General features: G+C 47.8%; 1 protein-coding gene across 1 annotated transcript in view, besides 2 other annotated features; it reads left to right on the top strand.

Annotated features, from left to right (window-relative positions):
* MICAL3 (microtubule associated monooxygenase, calponin and LIM domain containing 3) overlaps positions 1 to 16,550 on the top strand; it is a 236,913-nt gene that overhangs the window by 46,204 nt on the left and 174,159 nt on the right. The gene's annotated exons all lie outside the window — the stretch shown is intronic.
* Positions 4,211 to 4,763: an enhancer, noted in NCBI's record as "H3K4me1 hESC enhancer chr22:18456361-18456913 (GRCh37/hg19 assembly coordinates)". NCBI's record gives its function as "activates a minimal SCP1, AML or CMV promoter by ChIP-STARR-seq in naive H9 embryonic stem cells {active_cell/tissue: H9 hESC(naive)}" and the evidence as "EXISTENCE:reporter gene assay evidence [ECO:0000049][PMID:30033119]".
* Positions 8,221 to 8,515: a silencer, noted in NCBI's record as "tiled region #15525; K562 Repressive non-DNase unmatched - State 14:Gen5'". NCBI's record gives its function as "represses a minimal TATA promoter and a strong SV40 promoter by Sharpr-MPRA in K562 cells {active_cell/tissue: K562}" and the evidence as "EXISTENCE:reporter gene assay evidence [ECO:0000049][PMID:27701403]".

Here is a 16,550-nt window from a genome sequence, read left to right as displayed (position 1 = left end):
CTACTTTCTTTCTGATTTGCTATTCTGAACATTTCATGTAAATGTAGTCATACAATATTTGCCCTTTTGTAACTGGCTGCTTTCACTTAGCATGGTGTTTTCAAGATTCATTCATGTTGTAGCATGTGTCAGAATTTCATTCCTTTTCATGGCAGAATAATATTCCATTTTATGTATGCACCACATTTTCTTTATCCATTCAGTAGTTGATAGGCATTTGAGTTATTTCCACTTTTTGACTATTTGGAATATTGCTATGAATAGTCATGTGCAAGTTTTTGTGTAGGTGTATATTTTTTTATTTTATTTTATTTTATTATTTATTTATTTTTTATGAGACAGAGTTTCACTCTTGTTGCGCAGGCTGGAGTGCAGTGCTGTGATCTCTGCTCACCACAACCTCCGCCTCCCAGGTTCAAGTGATTCTCCTGCCTCAGCCTCCCGAGTAGCTGGGGTTACAGGCATGCACCACCATGCCTGGCTAATTTTGTATTTTTATAGAGACAGGGTTTTTCCATGTTGGTCAGGCTGGTCTCAAACTCCCGACCTCAGGTGATCCTCCTGCCTCGGCCTCCCAAAGTGCTGGGATTACAGGTGTGAGCCACTGTGCCTGGCCAGGTGTATATTTTTATTTCTCTTGAGTATATACCTAAGAGTGAAATTGCTGGGTCATATGGTAACTCTATGTTTAACTTTTTGAGGAGCTGTCAAACTTTTCCAAAGTTGCAGCACTATTTTACTTTCCCACCAGCAACATAGGAGGGTTCCAGTTTCCCCACATCCTTGTCAACACTTGTTATTGTCTGTCTTTTTTTTTTTTTATTATAGTCTTCCTAGTGGGTATGAAGTGATACCTCATTTGAGGGTTTGATTTGCATTTCCCTAATGGTTGCCGATGTTGAGCATCCTTTCATGTGCTTATTGGCGTCTTTCTTTTCTTGTGCTTCTGGGTCTTCCTTAGATAAATATCTGTCCAAATCCTTTGGCTGTTTAAAAAGTTGGGTTACCTTTTTATTATTGAGTTGTAAGAGTTCTTTATGTCTTCTGGATACAAGTTCCCTATCCGTTACCTGATTTGCAGATATTTTTCCCTATTCTGTAGGTGTGTTTTCACTTTCTGGATGGTGTCTTTTATGCTTTGAAGCATACACGTTTTTAATTTTGGTGATGTCAAATTTACTCTCGATTCTTGAGTAAACCTGGATTTGCACATCAGTTTTCTGTGCTTTCAGATGTTTCTATTGTAGTTAAGTCTCTGCCGGGCGTGGTGGCTCACGCCGTAATCCCAGCACTTTGGGAGGCGGAGGTGGGCGGATCACAAGGTCAGATCGAGATCATCCTGGCTAACACGGTGAAACCCCGTCTCTACTAAAAATACAAAAAATTAGCCGGGCATGGTGGCGGGCGCCTGTAGTCCCAGCTTCTTGGGAGGCTGAGGCAGGAGAATGGCGTGAACCTGGGAGGCGGAGCTTGCAGTGAGCCGAGATCACGCCACTGCACTCCAGCCTGGGCGACAGAGCAAGACTCCATCTAAAAAAAAAAAAAAAGAAGAAGTCTCTAGAACTAAGTAGTCTGTAACAGTCCCATAACCTTTAATACTCAGAACTTATGTTTGGTGACTGTTATAGCTTTTGCAAACTTAAAATCCTTTGAAAGCAGAAACTAAGTCACAAAAGCTCTTTAAAGCTTGTAGTGAGCCGAGATCGCGCCAGTGTACTCCAGCCTGGGCGACAGAGTGAGACTCTGTCTCAAAAAAAAAAAAAAAAAATATATATATATATATATATATATATATACACACACACACACACACACACACACATATATATACACATATATACATGTATATTTTATTCATCATGCCACTGATTTAAAATAAAAAACCAGCCATAAACTGATGACTGCTGAACACAGTGATTGGTTCCAGGCTTCTGGGAATAGCTGGAGGTTGGATACAAGTGTACTGAGGTTACATTTAAGCAAAAGCCAAGAAAATCGGGCAGTGCTGTTTCCCAGTGTAACCTTAACTCCCTCGTGTTATCTAATGAGATTTTCAGCTTTATTTACTCTAGTATAAGACACGGAATTTAACAGCAAGAAATGAATTTGGGTTATGTGGACAAGTTACCAGAATGAAAAACTTAAACTGTCTTCTACCCTGATCCCCACAACATATTTTGGCAGTCCATCTCTGCCTATATTGTTCAGATAAGATTAGAAAGAAATAAAACATTTAACTTACATACTGATGTTCTGTTGGCCGTCTTATTTGCTCCGGCTTTGAGCCATGTAGCACTCTTTTTTTTTTTGAGACCCAGTCTGGCTCTGTCGCCCAGGCTGGAGTGCAATGGTGTTATCTCGGCTCACTGCAACCTCTGCCTCCCGGTTCTAGCGATTCTCCTGCCTCAGCCTCCTGAGTAGTGGGATTACAGGTATGTACTGCCACGCCCGGCTAATTTTTGTATTTTTAGTAGAGATGGGGTTTCATCATGTTGATCAGGCTGGCCTCAAACTTCTGACCTCGTGATCTGCCCACCTCAGCCTCCCAAAGTGCAGCACTCTTTAATAGCAAATCCTGTGTCCCAAACATGAGGACATATGCCAGGAGGGTGTTCAGGAGAGTCTGTGTAACTCACTCTTGGGACAGTGCTGGGTTCTGTTTTTTGGGGACACACTTGGGGTGACTTGAAAATGTGCTATTTCATACCTGGTTTGTTCTGTATCCCTTTTAGCTCTCTTTATCAGGTATTTCCATTTCTAAATTGGGGTAAATGAATTCGTTGAATTTTTTTCTTTGTGCATAATCTGAACAAGTGAGTATAAGTCCTGTAGCTGGGGGGCTGGGTGTGGGGCATGGGAGCGGAAAAATATGGAAGGCAAGGGAAAGCTGGGTAAGGAAGAGTGCAGAGTGTAAGAAGTTCTCAGAAATACCAGAAAGTTGTGGGAATTTGTTAGGAAGTCAGTCAAGTAGGGTATGAGATTTTTTTTTAAATTTGCGGGCTTTTCATTCACTGTCAGCCGTGAGCCACCAAGATCCTTGGGTGACTTTCTAGCAAGTGTAATTTTGAACTGAAGCGTGGTCCTGTTCCCATTCTGAGTAGAGCCACTTCCCATCACACGATGATTGTGGTGACTGCAGCTTGACTGCGGCTTCTTGCATTGTTCTGGCCTTTCCCTTCTGCAGAACTTAGAACCATTTTCTTGTGGGTTTGTGATCACAAGGCTGACCTGAGACTGACAGTTCTTTCAAAGAAGTCAGTCTTGAGCTGTTTTTGGAATCTGTGCCACGCTGGCCTTTGCCTGCTTTATTCCTGGGAATGTTTCCATGCTTTGAGGATGGGTGTGATGTGGTCCATGCTGGGGCTCCAGAGTCCAGCTGCCTGGGCCCAGCTCTGTCTTCTACCACATAGAAACCATACAGCCTTGATAAATGACTCAATTTCTGTTTCTTCATCCACAGAATCTACCTCATGAGGTTATTGTGAGGACTGAAGAACTCTAGTGTGTAAAGTTCAAGAGAACAGCATGCACAGTAGTGCTCATCACACAGTAAGCACATATTACGTGCTACCACTGTGCTGTGAAATAACCAGGACTCAGTGGCACACAGCTTTTTTTTTTTTTTTTTTTTTTTAAGACGGAGTCTTGCTCTGTTATCCAGGCTGGAGTGCAGTGGTGCCATCTCGGCTCACTACAACCTCTGTCTACCAGGTTCAAGCGATTCTCCTGCCTCAGCCTCCCAAGTAGCTGGAATTACAGGTGCGTGCCACCATGCCCAGCTAATTTTTTATTTTTAGTAGAGACAAGGTTTTGCCATGTTGGCCAGGCTGGTCTGGAACGCCAACCTCCACCTCCCAGGTTCAAGCAATTCTCCTCCTTTGGCCTCCCAAAGTGTTGGGATTATAGGCGTGAGCCACCACACCTGGCCTCACACAGCTCTTATAAATGTATCAGGTTTGAGTAAAACATGAAATGTGGAAATAGCAGCAGTACTAGTAATTCCCGTTTATTGAGCAACTTCTGTGTGCCAGGCCATGCAGCATAGGCTCTGCTGTACATACCATCACTTACTTCTCACAGCAGTCCCCTGAAGCCTGTTTTATCAGCACTGTTGAGGGCCAGGCCCAGGGCAGACAGCAGGGTGGTGGAGCTGGTCTTCCTCACAAAGCCCTAGGGAGCTGGGCTTTGCTCTTGACTGCCTCGTCACTTTCCTTACCTGTGTTCACCCTGGGAGCCAGAGTAACAGGAAAGTCATTCTTTGCCCTGAGCCTGGAATTTTGGCAGCTCACATAAACCATGGCCCAGAGGGAAGTATGATTTCCAGGATATAAACCATTTTTGGGTGAGTCTTCAGTCTTTTCTGTTGTGATAAATAGGAGGAGGAGCTCAGGGGACTTGTTTTTTATTTATGTATCTTAAACATTTTTAAATTTAATCTCTTTTGAGACAGCATCTCACTGTGTTGCTGGAGTGCAGTGGTGCGACCACAGCTTACTGCAGCCTCGACCTCCCAGGTGCAAATGATCCTCCCACCTCAGCCTCCCCAGTAGCTGGGACCACAAGTGCGTGCCACCATGCCTGGCTAATTTTTTGTAGAGACGGCGTCTCACCGTGTTGCCCAGGCTGGTGTCAAACTCCCGGGCTCAACTCATCTTCCTGCCTCGACCTTCCAAAGTGCAGGGATTTCAGGTGTGAGCCATCGCACTTGGCCAGCCTGTCTTTTCGAAAGGGCCCATGATTTGCCTGCGTCTAAGCCTGGCTCTGATTGGTCTCCCTTCTGCACACAGCAGACACCCAAACTCTGAACTGCCACCCCGGTTCCACAGTGGGGCTGGAAGGGGTCGGTTGTGGCCATCAGCTTCACACCCTGTGCTGCTTCCACTATCATGACCTATGTGTGGCTCCGTCCTGGGCCTCATGATGATCAAGCCGGTGTCCCAGGCCCTGTTGGGAAGGATCATATGCTCAGTTACATACCCTACAGAAGTAAGTCTCTTATCAGATTTCAGACTGGTAGAAAGTTTCTCCCATTTGGTAAGCCGTCTTTTCTGATGTCCTTTGAACTACAACATTCCCTCCCCAGGCTCCCCCCACCTTTGTTTTCCCCATGGTGAGGCTTGGCAAGTGTTGATGCCACAGGGCATGAGTGAAGAGGGTGGTAGCAGCGCCTCTGTCTGCATGCACACACCTCTCTTCTCCCTTTTCCCCCCATCTGGGTGGTGAAGGAGGCTTACTCACCCCACAGAAGAGTCAGAAGTAAAGACCCACAGCAAGTAGGCTCGGAGTCACAGGATGCTCCTTAAAGAACTGAGAACTATTGGGCATGGCTGAGGGCCCCTTGTAGCCAGAGGTGGGCAGCCCACGTGGGCCCGGCTGGGCAAGGCGCAACATGCCTGACGTGCAGGGGCCTGAGGGCAGGTCTGGGTGGGCATTGTAGGGGCTGCAGGCGCTTGGGGGCTGGCAGTGCCAAAGGCTACTTAAGCTGACGGGTCAGGTTACAGTTGCTGTGGGAACTGTGACCTTTGAATTTCCTGGCTTATGCATGGAATTTCAGTTGCACAATACTACAACAATTTGGATTATTTTTCCTCCCTTTCCTCTCCCTCCTTGGCACTTAATTTTTTATCCCAGTGAATGAGATCCATAGCTCTCTGCCCTTGCCCTTTTTCCTGGGGCAGACAGTCTTACTCACCTTCCTTCTCCTGCTGCCCCAAAGTGTGCCTGCCAGGAGACCAGCCCCGGACCCTGACCTGTGGGAATCTTCCTTCTGCCTCCAAGGCCCTGAAGATGGGGGTGAGCTGCCCGGGATGGGCTGTTGTGTGTTGTAGGCGGGCTCAACCTTTCTGTGTGCTTACCCCTCCCCGATGTGCCTTGCTGTCCCTACTCCCGTACGTCCGTTCACCTGTTGCGTGTGCCTGGTCCACCCTCCCAGGTAGCTTAGCCTGGTTCGCTCCAGATTTCAGTTTCTACTTGGAGTCCCACCCTCTTTGGGAAACCCGTTGTCACCACCTTACCTGGGAATTATTTCCCCTTCCAGTGGACCATGTGACTTGAACATTTCATCTGGTGTTTAATCAGATACTGCCTCAGGATATATATTTTCTTGTCTCAAGATTTTTTTGTTTTTTGTTTGAGATGGGATGGTCTGGTTCCTTTTTTCTACAAACCAAATTATAAAATTTGAGGGCCAAGATTTTAACAGTACCTTGCTTATTAAATAGCCACTGGTTTGTAACTGATTTGCTGAACTGAGCATGTGTTCTTAGTGTTTGCCTTGAGGAGCGCACTGGGCTTGGGAACAATGAAAGATGTAGGAAAAAGCAAGGTCCTTGCATCCAGATTCGTTAAGAGGCCTTGCCTGGCCTTGTGTGGAGTGGCCTGCCTGCCTTGCCATCCTCCTCTTCCTCTCTCACTGAGCCCTGAGCCCACTGGCCGGTGGTCCTGGAAGGCCATGTGCATTGTCGCCTGTGCCGGTGCACGTGTGCTGCTTCTGCCCCTGGAGCAAGCTCCTCCTTTCCCTGGGCATCCTCCCTCCCGGGTCGGGCTGGATACCTCTTCATTACCACCTGAAGGGCCAGGGGGCCCCTTCCGATGTTCTGTCTTAGGTTCTGCTGTTCTTTTTCTCACAGTGTGTAAGTATGGATGTATCTATATATTGACGTTTTTACACCGATGGCTGTGTCCACCACTGTCCTTCCATCTCTGGGGCACAGGAGACATAGGAGTTCTGTTCACATTCTGTGCTTAGCCCCAACACAGTGTCTGGTGCCTGTGTATGCTAGATGAATGCTAGATGTATGCTAGATGAATGCTAGATGAATGCTAGATGAATGCAGTCAATGCTAGATGAATGATGAGGTTTTTTGTTTGTTTGTTTTGACATGGAGTCTTGCACTGTCGCCCAGGCTGGAGTGCAATGGTGCGATAGCTCACTGCAACCTCCGCCTCCCGGGTTCAAGCGATTCTCCTGCTGAGGCTGAGGAGGCCTCAGCCTCCCAAGTAGCTGGGATTACAGACACACAACACCATGCCCAGCTAATTTTTTGTATTTTAGTAGAGATGGGGTTTCACCATGTTGGCCAGGCTGGTCTCAAACTCCTGACCTCAAGTGATCTGCCTGCCTCAGTCTCCCAAAGTGCTGGGATTGAAGGCATGAGCGCCCAGCCCCCCCCTTTTTTTCTGACACGGGGTCTTGCTCTGTTGCCCAAGCTGGAGTGCAGTGGTGCAATCTCAGCTCACTGCGACCTCCGCCTCTGGGGCTCAAGTGGTCTTCCCACCTCAGCCACCTGAGTAGCTGGGACTTACAGGCATATGTCACTGTGCCCAGCTAATTTTTTTGGCAGAGGCGGGGTTTTGCCGTGTTTCCCAGGCTGGTCTCGAACTCCTGAGCTCAAGCAATCTGCCCACTTCGACCTCCCAAAATGCTGGGATCACAGGTGTGTGCCACTATGCCCGGCCTCCAGAAGACTTTTTAACAGCTCACAGGGCACAGTTTAGAAAGCACTGCCTGCAAATCGGGTGGGGTGCTGAAATCAAGGACAAGATAAATATAATAGGAAAGACGTAACAGATAAAAAAATTTTCCACATTAAAAAAAAATGCTGCTCAATTAAATGGCTTGGAAAGACAGACTTAGCACCTTTTCTCACCAACCCCAATTCAAGGACCTGTTTAAGGCACCTACTGTGTGCCAGGAATATTACAGGTGTTAGAGGAGGGAACATAGGAAGTGGTGGGGAATTACTAAATTCTGCTTCTGATTTTGGATTTTTTAAAATGTATACATGATATTAGTGCTGAAACCTGACACTTCTCAGGAAGTGAGAACTAAAAAGCACAGAAGCCCATCTGCCACATAGTGAGTCGGTCACAGCCGTGACTGCAGAGTTCTGTTATCTGACTCCCAAAGGGGCCTCCAACCAGTGGGCCCTGCGGCAGATCACGAAGATCCTCTGATCATGGCCCTGCAGCTGGTCAGCCGCTCACTCAAGGACCAGTGGGCCCTGGGGCAGACCACGAACATCCTCTAAGCATGGGCCAGCAGCTGGTCAGCCGCTCACTCAAGGACAGACGGAATGGCAGATTTAGAACCTGGCGTCCATTCTCAAATCCCATTCAACAACATGGGCGGGGGACAGTGGAGGGGAAGCCATCTGTCCTCCCTTCTCACCAGGCTGAGAAAAGTGGGTGTTGAAGGTGGGACCGAGAGAAGAGCCCACAGACCCCACTCAGGGAGACTTCTCTGGGGACAGTGGCACAGAGCCTGCTAACCTGCTGGAGCGGCTGGAGCAACGGCCCAGTCCCTCTGCACACTGTGAATCCTGGCAGCCAGGGCAGAGATGTGGACCAAAGGGAAGTCTGATTACCGACTATGTGGCCTCAGAGTGCCCTTCTCCTCTGACGAGCTCCCAGTGCTTTCGTGGACGTGACCTCATGAGGCCCTCACACTCATTCCATAGGTATTTTCTCAGGCAAGTCACAGACGGCATCCCAGCACACAGGGAGAGCTGAGAGCCTCAGTTCTCTCTAAAACATGAGGAAGCATGCACCCATCCCAGGGTGTCGGCAAAGAGGCCATCCTAGACGCTGCGCTTCTCACAGCTGTTCTGGCTAGCAGCATCGGCTGCTTCTCAAAAATGATTCTGAGAGCTTAGGAAAAAGCGAATACCTCCAAAGTCCCAAAATAAGTTTCTAGAATTCCACAGAACAGAGTAACAGTCCTGCCTCACCTCCTCACAGATCAAGGGCCCATGTTGCCTTAAATCATTTCTAAGATAAACCAAAAAAGGAATAAAGGTGGCAGGGAAGAAGGAAGAAGGAAGGAAGAGAAAAAAAAGCATGTGTCTTGCCTAGAACAAAGGAGTTCTCATTTTAATCTCCAGATGGACACTGTCATTCCACAACGCCTGTCGGCTCCAGACCAACCCAAGAAGCACGATCTGCGGACAAACTGCTCATTTTACATTTCTTTCTCGTCCCTTAGAGAAAAGCACATGTATTTCTACAAGAGTCCTCATTTGGCCGGGTGCAGTGGCTCATGCCTGTAATCCCAGCACTTTGGGAGGCCGAGGCAGGTGGATCACGAGGTCAGGAGTTCAAGACCAGCCTGGCCAATATAGTGAAACCCTGTCTCTACTAAAAATACAGAAAATTAGCTGGGTGTGGTGGCGGACGCCTGTAATCCCAGCTACTCGGGAGGCTGAGGCAGAATTGCTTGAACCCGGGAGGTGGAGGTTGCAGTGAGCTGAGATCCTGCTACTGCACTCCAGCCTGGGTGACAGAGTGAGACTCCATGTCAAAAAGAAAAAAAAAAGTCTTCTGGAGAAAGTTAAAGAATGTTCTTAATAAGTCATTGAATTTTACATATTTTTGACTTTGTGTGTTGGGGGATAATTTTGTTTATAAAGTCTTTAAAAACTGACCATTTTTTGCATTGGTTAATTTACCCATGAGACCATTTATTTGTAGTTAATAAAATACAAATCTATTTAAAATGTTGAATTCATAGTTTTTGGTCACAAGGCATGTTTGAAGTTTGTCGCCCCATGCTAATCTAAAAGCGCCTAACTCCCCTCGAGCTCCTTTAGTATGCTTTCCATATATCCTACGTCAAACTGTTTGGTGGCCACATCTGTTTGAGGAAGGTGAGCTAAAGTGTGGAACCGGCCTTTCTTTCAGCGGCTCGTTGGGGCATTAGTGGTTGTGGTAATTATTATATCACTCTTTGAGTATCGGCTCTCAGTTGGACACTCTCCCAGGCATTTCAGGTTGGTTGTTTATTTGAACCTCACCTCAAAATCATTACATCCATAAGAGGCACATACTAATATATCTTTGTTTTGTGGTGGGGAAATGTAGCCTGAGGAAGCTTGCCCGAGCCAGGGTCTGGTGAGGTCTCCGGTTTGAGTCTGCGACTGTGGAGCTCTGGCGCCTCAGCTCTTCCCAGAGCAGCTCCCGGCTCCTGTGCTGCTCCCCCGTGGAGTGTCCTCACCTGTGAACACCTGCTCACCTGTGAGTGTCCCCTCAGTAGGGCGGGTCTGAGCTCTGGCAAGGTTGCTAGGCTTTTCTCCCTCCCCCAACGCTTCCACAGAGGCAGGGCTCGGCACTGGGCACGCTATCTGATTCCCCCTTTGCTCATGTGAATTCTCGCCATTTCCTCTCTTTCCTCTTCACTCTGCTGGACTTGGTCTCATCCTTCAGGATCTCCTCAGATCCACCCTTTCTTCCGTGAAACTTGCATCTATTTACCTACTTTTACAAGCATCATTTAATAATTATTTTTATTTAATTTTTAAATTTTACTCTTTTTTTTTTTTGAGACGGAGTCTCACTCTGTCATCCAGGCTGAAGTACAGGGTGCAACCTTGGCTCACTGCAACCTCCGCCTCCCAGGTTCAAGCGATTCTCCTGCCTCAGGCTTCTGAGTAGCTGGGATTACAGGTGTGCGTGACCACGCCTGGCTAATTTTTGTATTTTTAGTAGACAGGGTTTCACCATGTTGGTCAGGCTGGTCTCGAACTCCTGACCTAGTGATCTGCCCACCTCGGCCTCCCAAAGTGCTGGGATTACAGGCGTGAGCCACCACGCCCAGCCAATTTTTAGTCATTTTTACAATAGAGAAGGGGTTTCGCTGTGTTGCCCAGGCTGGTCTCAAATTCCTGGTCTCAAGTGATCTTCCCATCTTGGCCTCCCAAAGTGCTGGGATTACAGGCGTGAGCCACCACACCTGGTCCTCATTTTTATTATAATATGTACTTAAATGTATTGAACTGAATTTGTTAGAAGCCTGTCCTTAACCTTTACCTCTCTTCTGAGCTGTTGTCAGTGGGATCCCCATGCTGTAGGCATGAGTGGGTGTGTGTGGGTGTGTGTGTGTGTGTGTGTGTGTGTGTGTTTGCATGTACACTGCCCAGTGGCCAAGACTGTGAATCCATAGGGCAGATTCATCAAATATTGTCGCTTGAGTAAATGCCTTAAATATATGTGTTCTACTTTTTTTTGCAGGGTATGTAGATGCCGTTGTGATGAACAGAATACAAATGCATGGGAAAATGTTGAATTCTTAGTAGCTTTTTTATTGTTAGGCATTATTTTCAGCCAATAGGTTGTATGGAATAGCCTCTATCACATAAAGATAACAAAATCACTGATGGTGAAAACGAGTAGTTATGCCAGGATAGACCAGGGATGCTGGCCATCCTGTTCATTTGCATCTGTGCCACAGGTGTTCTGTTCTTTCAGCACGTGTTGGTTGACTGCTTAGCTGGATGGTGGCCCTTGTCCATGGAACCTCTGTCTCACCTACCCTTGATCAGTCCCATGGAGTGTGTGCACACATGGGTGCCCAGGAAGTACTTACAGATTTGACTTAGTCCTTGGATCCTATTTCCCCTGTTCCACTACCCATTCCCATCTGCTATTTCACTTTCTTGAATTCCCTCTTACTTTTCTTCCTTTGTCTAGTTCTTACAGATAACCCTAACCTCCAATAATTTTCTGTCAATTAATTGCAGCTGCTTCCTGAGTTCCAGCTGCACATTTAGCAAGGCTCAGGCTACACTGGGGGCAGATACATAATCATTGAAATAATTACTCATGGACCATTTTTGCCAGGTATCATGGAAGATGCTTTAGAAATGCATTCTGTCGTTTACTTCCTAGAAATACCCTAGACAGTTGGTACTGTCTTTATCACCATTGGCAGGGGAGTTAACTAGGAATTGGACAGCCAAGTGTGTGGCAGAGTCAGGATTAATCTCAGTCCAACTCCCAAGCCTGTGCTCTGAAGCCCTCTGCTACCCTCATCTCCTGAGGATTGGTCATGGTTCTTCCCCTGAGGAATTTTCCATTGGAGAAACAGAAACAATGCAAACAGTACTGTCTGGATATGAATAAGGATTGAATTGTTTGGAACTGCAGAGGAGTGAGGAGGTGGAGGGGCTCAGAAAGGACGAGAAGAGATGGAGGCTTTGTGAAGAAGGCAGGTCTTCTGCGGGGTTCTGGAATAAGGCTGGAGAGGGGAGGAGGAGCGCTCAGGTGTGGGGAACCACACCCAGGCCCGAGGGAGTGGAATGTGCCCACAGGCTGTGGGGCCACTTTGGAGGGCAGTTATCTCAGGGAAAGTGGGATGAAGCTGGGTGGCCAGAGTCAGGGACTGGAAATTCGATGGGAGGCATGAAGCAGTGGATGATAAGGAAACGTGTGTGGTTGTCAAGCAGGATGTGGCAGGATGAGGGTTCTGTCTGAGAATGATGAAGCTGGCAGCAGATGGCAGATCCTGCATGGCATGGAGTTACCTCCGACTCCTCTCTAGTTCATGTGTGTTGACTCTTCATTGCCTGTGTGCCCTGTGGCCCAGTATTATTTCTTCTGGTCCTGGGAACAGCTGTCTACATGGAAGTCCCACGGTGGTTGGTCCCGTGGTGGTTGGTCAGACCACCCTCGAGTGCAGTGTAGTGAAAAGGCATAGAATGTGGAGGTTGGAGACCTGGATTTTTGACTCCTGGCTTTATAGCTTACTAGTTGGACAAGTGATCTGACCTTTCTTAATTCTATTTTCCCCCTTATCTGTAACTTGCAGATAATTATAACTACTTACAGGGTGGTTTCTGGATTAAGATGATAGCAGATATCAGTAGAGAGGCTACTTAGTGTTCACGGTTCCAGGCTTCCTGGGATCAGGTGTCAGCTCTTACTGTGTGACTTGGGGCAAGTTACGTAGCCTCTCTGTCTCCTTTTTCTTGTCTATCACATGAGGCTGATCGCTGTATTAAATACTTAACTCACAGTGACAATCAGTATATCAGTAGTAAGTGATGAATACACTATAGCTGCAGTTATTCCTGGGGGCCTCATCTTCATCAGCACCATTATTTCAGTCCTTGGGATGAATGGAGTCAGTGCTTTCTCTAAGGTAGGAGACCAAAGCATGAAGACTCTCTGATGTGTGGTAAGAAATGGTCTCTAATCATTGTGTTAGTGACATGCCTTCAGGACCTCTCTTAAGCATTGAAATTATAGGCACCCTTGTGCCAGTTCCAGGGTCTTTTAGGGGTTCCGGGTATTATTGCAATCCTGTAAAAAGTCATTGCTTTCTGATACAGAAGGACTCTCGCAAGCACAGCCATTCTCAGGCACAGAAATAGTTCCCTTCCTTTTTTTTTTTTTTTTTTTTGGAGACGGGGTCTCACTGTGTTGCCCAGGCTGGTCTCAAACTCTCTTCTTTTTAAATAGAAGGGGAAGGAGGGAAAGGAGAGCAGCGGATGCATGGATTTCCTTTGGCCCAGTTTCCTCCCTCTGTCAGAGGACTTCCTACCGCAGGGAGTGGGAGACACCTGGGGGCAGGCCCGCACCTGCTCTGTGCCCTTTCAGCGATGGCGTTTCTGTTTTGGAGTGTTTGCTTTCCCCTTTTCCCAGACCTCCACCGCGCTTCAGTTTAGCAGTGCGCTTACGGTCAGCAGTGCCATGCGGCTGCTGCTTCTGAAAACCCCCAGCCCTCCTGAACCAGCCAGTGTCCCAGCTGAGCAATTCGGGGTTTTTGTTTTGCTTTGTTTTTTAAAACAAAACTCAAAATCATTGGACCTTATCCTCTGTAGTTGAAGTGAGAGTTACTTTCTGAGGACTGGCTTGTACCAGAAACCAGCTGGTTTTAAGTTGCTGCAGATCTTTAAAGGGACAGCTTATTTGTGGACCAGATTTCCCTACTCACAGAAACTTTCTGTCAGAGGGTTCTAGTGTGGAGGTGGGTTACAGATGGCAGAAATGCCCGAGTTTGATTTTAAATTTTTAATCTTCACGTAGGGTCCAAGTCCTGTGGAGCTAATCTCTGACATCCCCACCCTTGCCCTGTTAGGGTTGGTCAGTGATACATGTGGACGTGTGCTGTGTGCGCAGATAGTGACAGGACCCAAAAGCAGATCATCACATAAGAGTCAGGGCTGTTCGCTGGGGCCTGTGGCGTTGGCAGCAGTGTCCTCAGCCAGCAGCTACTGTGTACATGGCTGGGAGACGGGGCTTTGCATATTTGGCCTCAATCATATAAGGTAAGAATGTGAGGAGAGGGATGTGAGGGAAGAGCCTGGTGCTGTGGAATGCAGGGACAGAGGGCAACAGCAGGCTGGCCTTCTTCCTCTTGAGCTGAGGAGAGGCAGATTTTTTGGGTCTTGATTGGCTCTTTTCTTCATTCTTGTTAGAACACGGAATTCCAGCTCCAGTAGTAACACCATTTTGAATCCTTTGTTTGTAATGTCCTGGAGACTGAGATTAGGAAGCAAACCAACCTTTGTCTGCCTTTGGGGAAGGCCCAGAAGGAAGTCTCTCTGTTATTACCTTAATGGTACCAATTAGTTGGTAACCAATAATGGTTGTTATTGCCATTGTGTTACAAAATTTGCGAGGGTCTCAGATTGTACTGTGTATTATAAATGCAGCAAGAGTAGGGACCACGTCCTTAAAATATGTCCCCACGACCTTGTGCCTATTTGACCCTCAGCTGGTAGCCTGATGGGTAAAGCGGCTCCTTGTCTGCACCAGGGCATCTTACCTTGCAAGGCAATGATCGGCCTGTGGGATTCATGTGGGTGTGGAGTAGGAGGAGACACAGAAGCGACCCTCCTGGCTGGATCAGCATGGGTAGCTGTGTCTTCAGTGAGGCCTGACTATTATCCACTTGCGAAGTTTGTGGTGACTCCTATGGCTTATGGAGCACGTTGATGGGGTGCGGGCTCACAGGAAGAGTCTCACCTCAGTGCCAAGGGGTGTCAGAGATGCTCACTGCCCTCCTCTCCTTGGGGTTGCATGGAGGCAGGATGGCGCTTGGCCGTGGCAGGGTAAGGAACCGGCGACGGAGGCCCATCACGTGTTCACAGCTCTCCTGCGTCAGTGCTTGGGAGATAGGGACTGTCAGGTCCTTAGCCCGCATTTATGTGAAGGCAAGGGGAGCAAAATCATTGTCATTAAAGAATGGAGATGGCTGTCATTTCATCTCACGCCATGGGTGTCCCTAACAGTCTTCCTTTAAACATCCTGTGTCCAGCTTGGGCAACATGTTGAAACCCTGTCTCTACAAAAATACAGAAATTAGCCAGGCGTGATGACACATGCCTGTAGTCCCAGCTACTTGGGAGGCTGAGGTGGGAGGACCACTTGAGCCTGGGAGGCGGCGGGTGCAGCGAGCTGAGATCACCCCACTGCACTACAGTCTGGGCGACAGAGTGAGACCCGTTTCAAAAATAAGTAAGTAAATCTGTGTCTAGGAAGGTTGTAGCTGAAGTTAAATTATTGATTGGAATAGAAGTGTTTCTCGCTGGCTAGGTGTGGTGGCTCACACCTCTAATCTCAGCACTTTGGGAGGCTGAGGCAGGAAGATTGCTTGAAGGTAGGAGTTCGTGACTGCCTGGGCAACATAGTGAGACCCTGTCTCTAAAATTTTTTAAAAAAAAATTTAGCTGGGCATGGTGGTGTGCTCCTGAGGCTAAGGCAGGAGGATCCCTTGAGGCCAGGAGTTCAAAACCAACCTGGGCACCTACAGAAAAACAAGTGTTTGTCACCTTCCTGCCCTTTCACAGGATACAGATAAGAAGGGAGTAACACCAGCAGCTGGTTTTTATGCCGCCCTGTGTAGCTCATTTGCTTCATTTCTGTTCAAAGGGTCCTTGGAAATTGCTTATTCCTAGCACCTAAAACTACACCTGCCATAGTTAGTGCTCCAAATTTGTCGAATAATTTTCCCTTTTTAAATTCTGGTTCCCACTGCTGCAGTTCTAACCCATCCCCTTTTTTCTTGTGCTCGAGCACCCCTGGATGTGGCCTGGCCGCAGTTCCATCTTCCTTGATGCTACCCTCCTGGCTGCAATCAGGCGGTGCTGCTTTGAAGGCTCCTGTCCTCCTCCCAGGTCCCACACCAGCTCTCCTGCCCGGCTCTAAGAGCCCTGGGTCAGCTGCCTGCCTGTGCAGCGCTGCTTCTCTACCTCTGCCCAGCCTGCGAGTGCCTGCTGAGTGCGTGCCTCCGGTGGCACTGTGCTTCCTCTCCCTGAGCGGCCCTCTCTGTTCCTTCCCAGATCCCAGCTCTGTACCCCGACAGCCTGCCTGCCCAGTTGAGGACATGTTTGCTTGTTCGCTTTCGCACTTACGTTAGTTTTCCCCTTGAGTTCCAGGATCTTTAGCTTCTGGAGGGTTGGAATGATGTCTCGCTTTCCTCTCCCAGCAGTCGTCACACGCCATGTGATATGTGCAGTCAGCAAGCACTCGATTGACAGACCTACCCCTCTCTCCAGTCACTGGCCTTGAAAATTATCTGTAAGAAGCACTTTCCTATCTTTGCCTCATTTTGAACCCATTTTTCTGTAAGTCCTATAGTCTGTCTTAGTTTGAATGTTTAGGGAATAGGTTGTATGGATTTGCCTAGGAAAGGAAACCCCAAACAGATATTTTCAAAGGCTGATCTTGTGATACTGCACAGCCCCGCCACTTGCCCATTGGAAGGTGAGGTGGTGGTGAAGAGGAGCAACTGGAGGCAGGCAGGCCGTGGCACTGGTGGCAGCAGCAGGGTT

The sequence above is a fragment of the Homo sapiens genome, chromosome 22, assembly GCF_000001405.40.
Source record: "Homo sapiens chromosome 22, GRCh38.p14 Primary Assembly".
NCBI classification, from domain to species: Eukaryota; Metazoa; Chordata; class Mammalia; order Primates; family Hominidae; genus Homo; species Homo sapiens.
The sequence above is the reverse complement of the archived record's forward strand: the minus strand, read 5'-3'. Positions and strand labels throughout refer to the sequence as shown.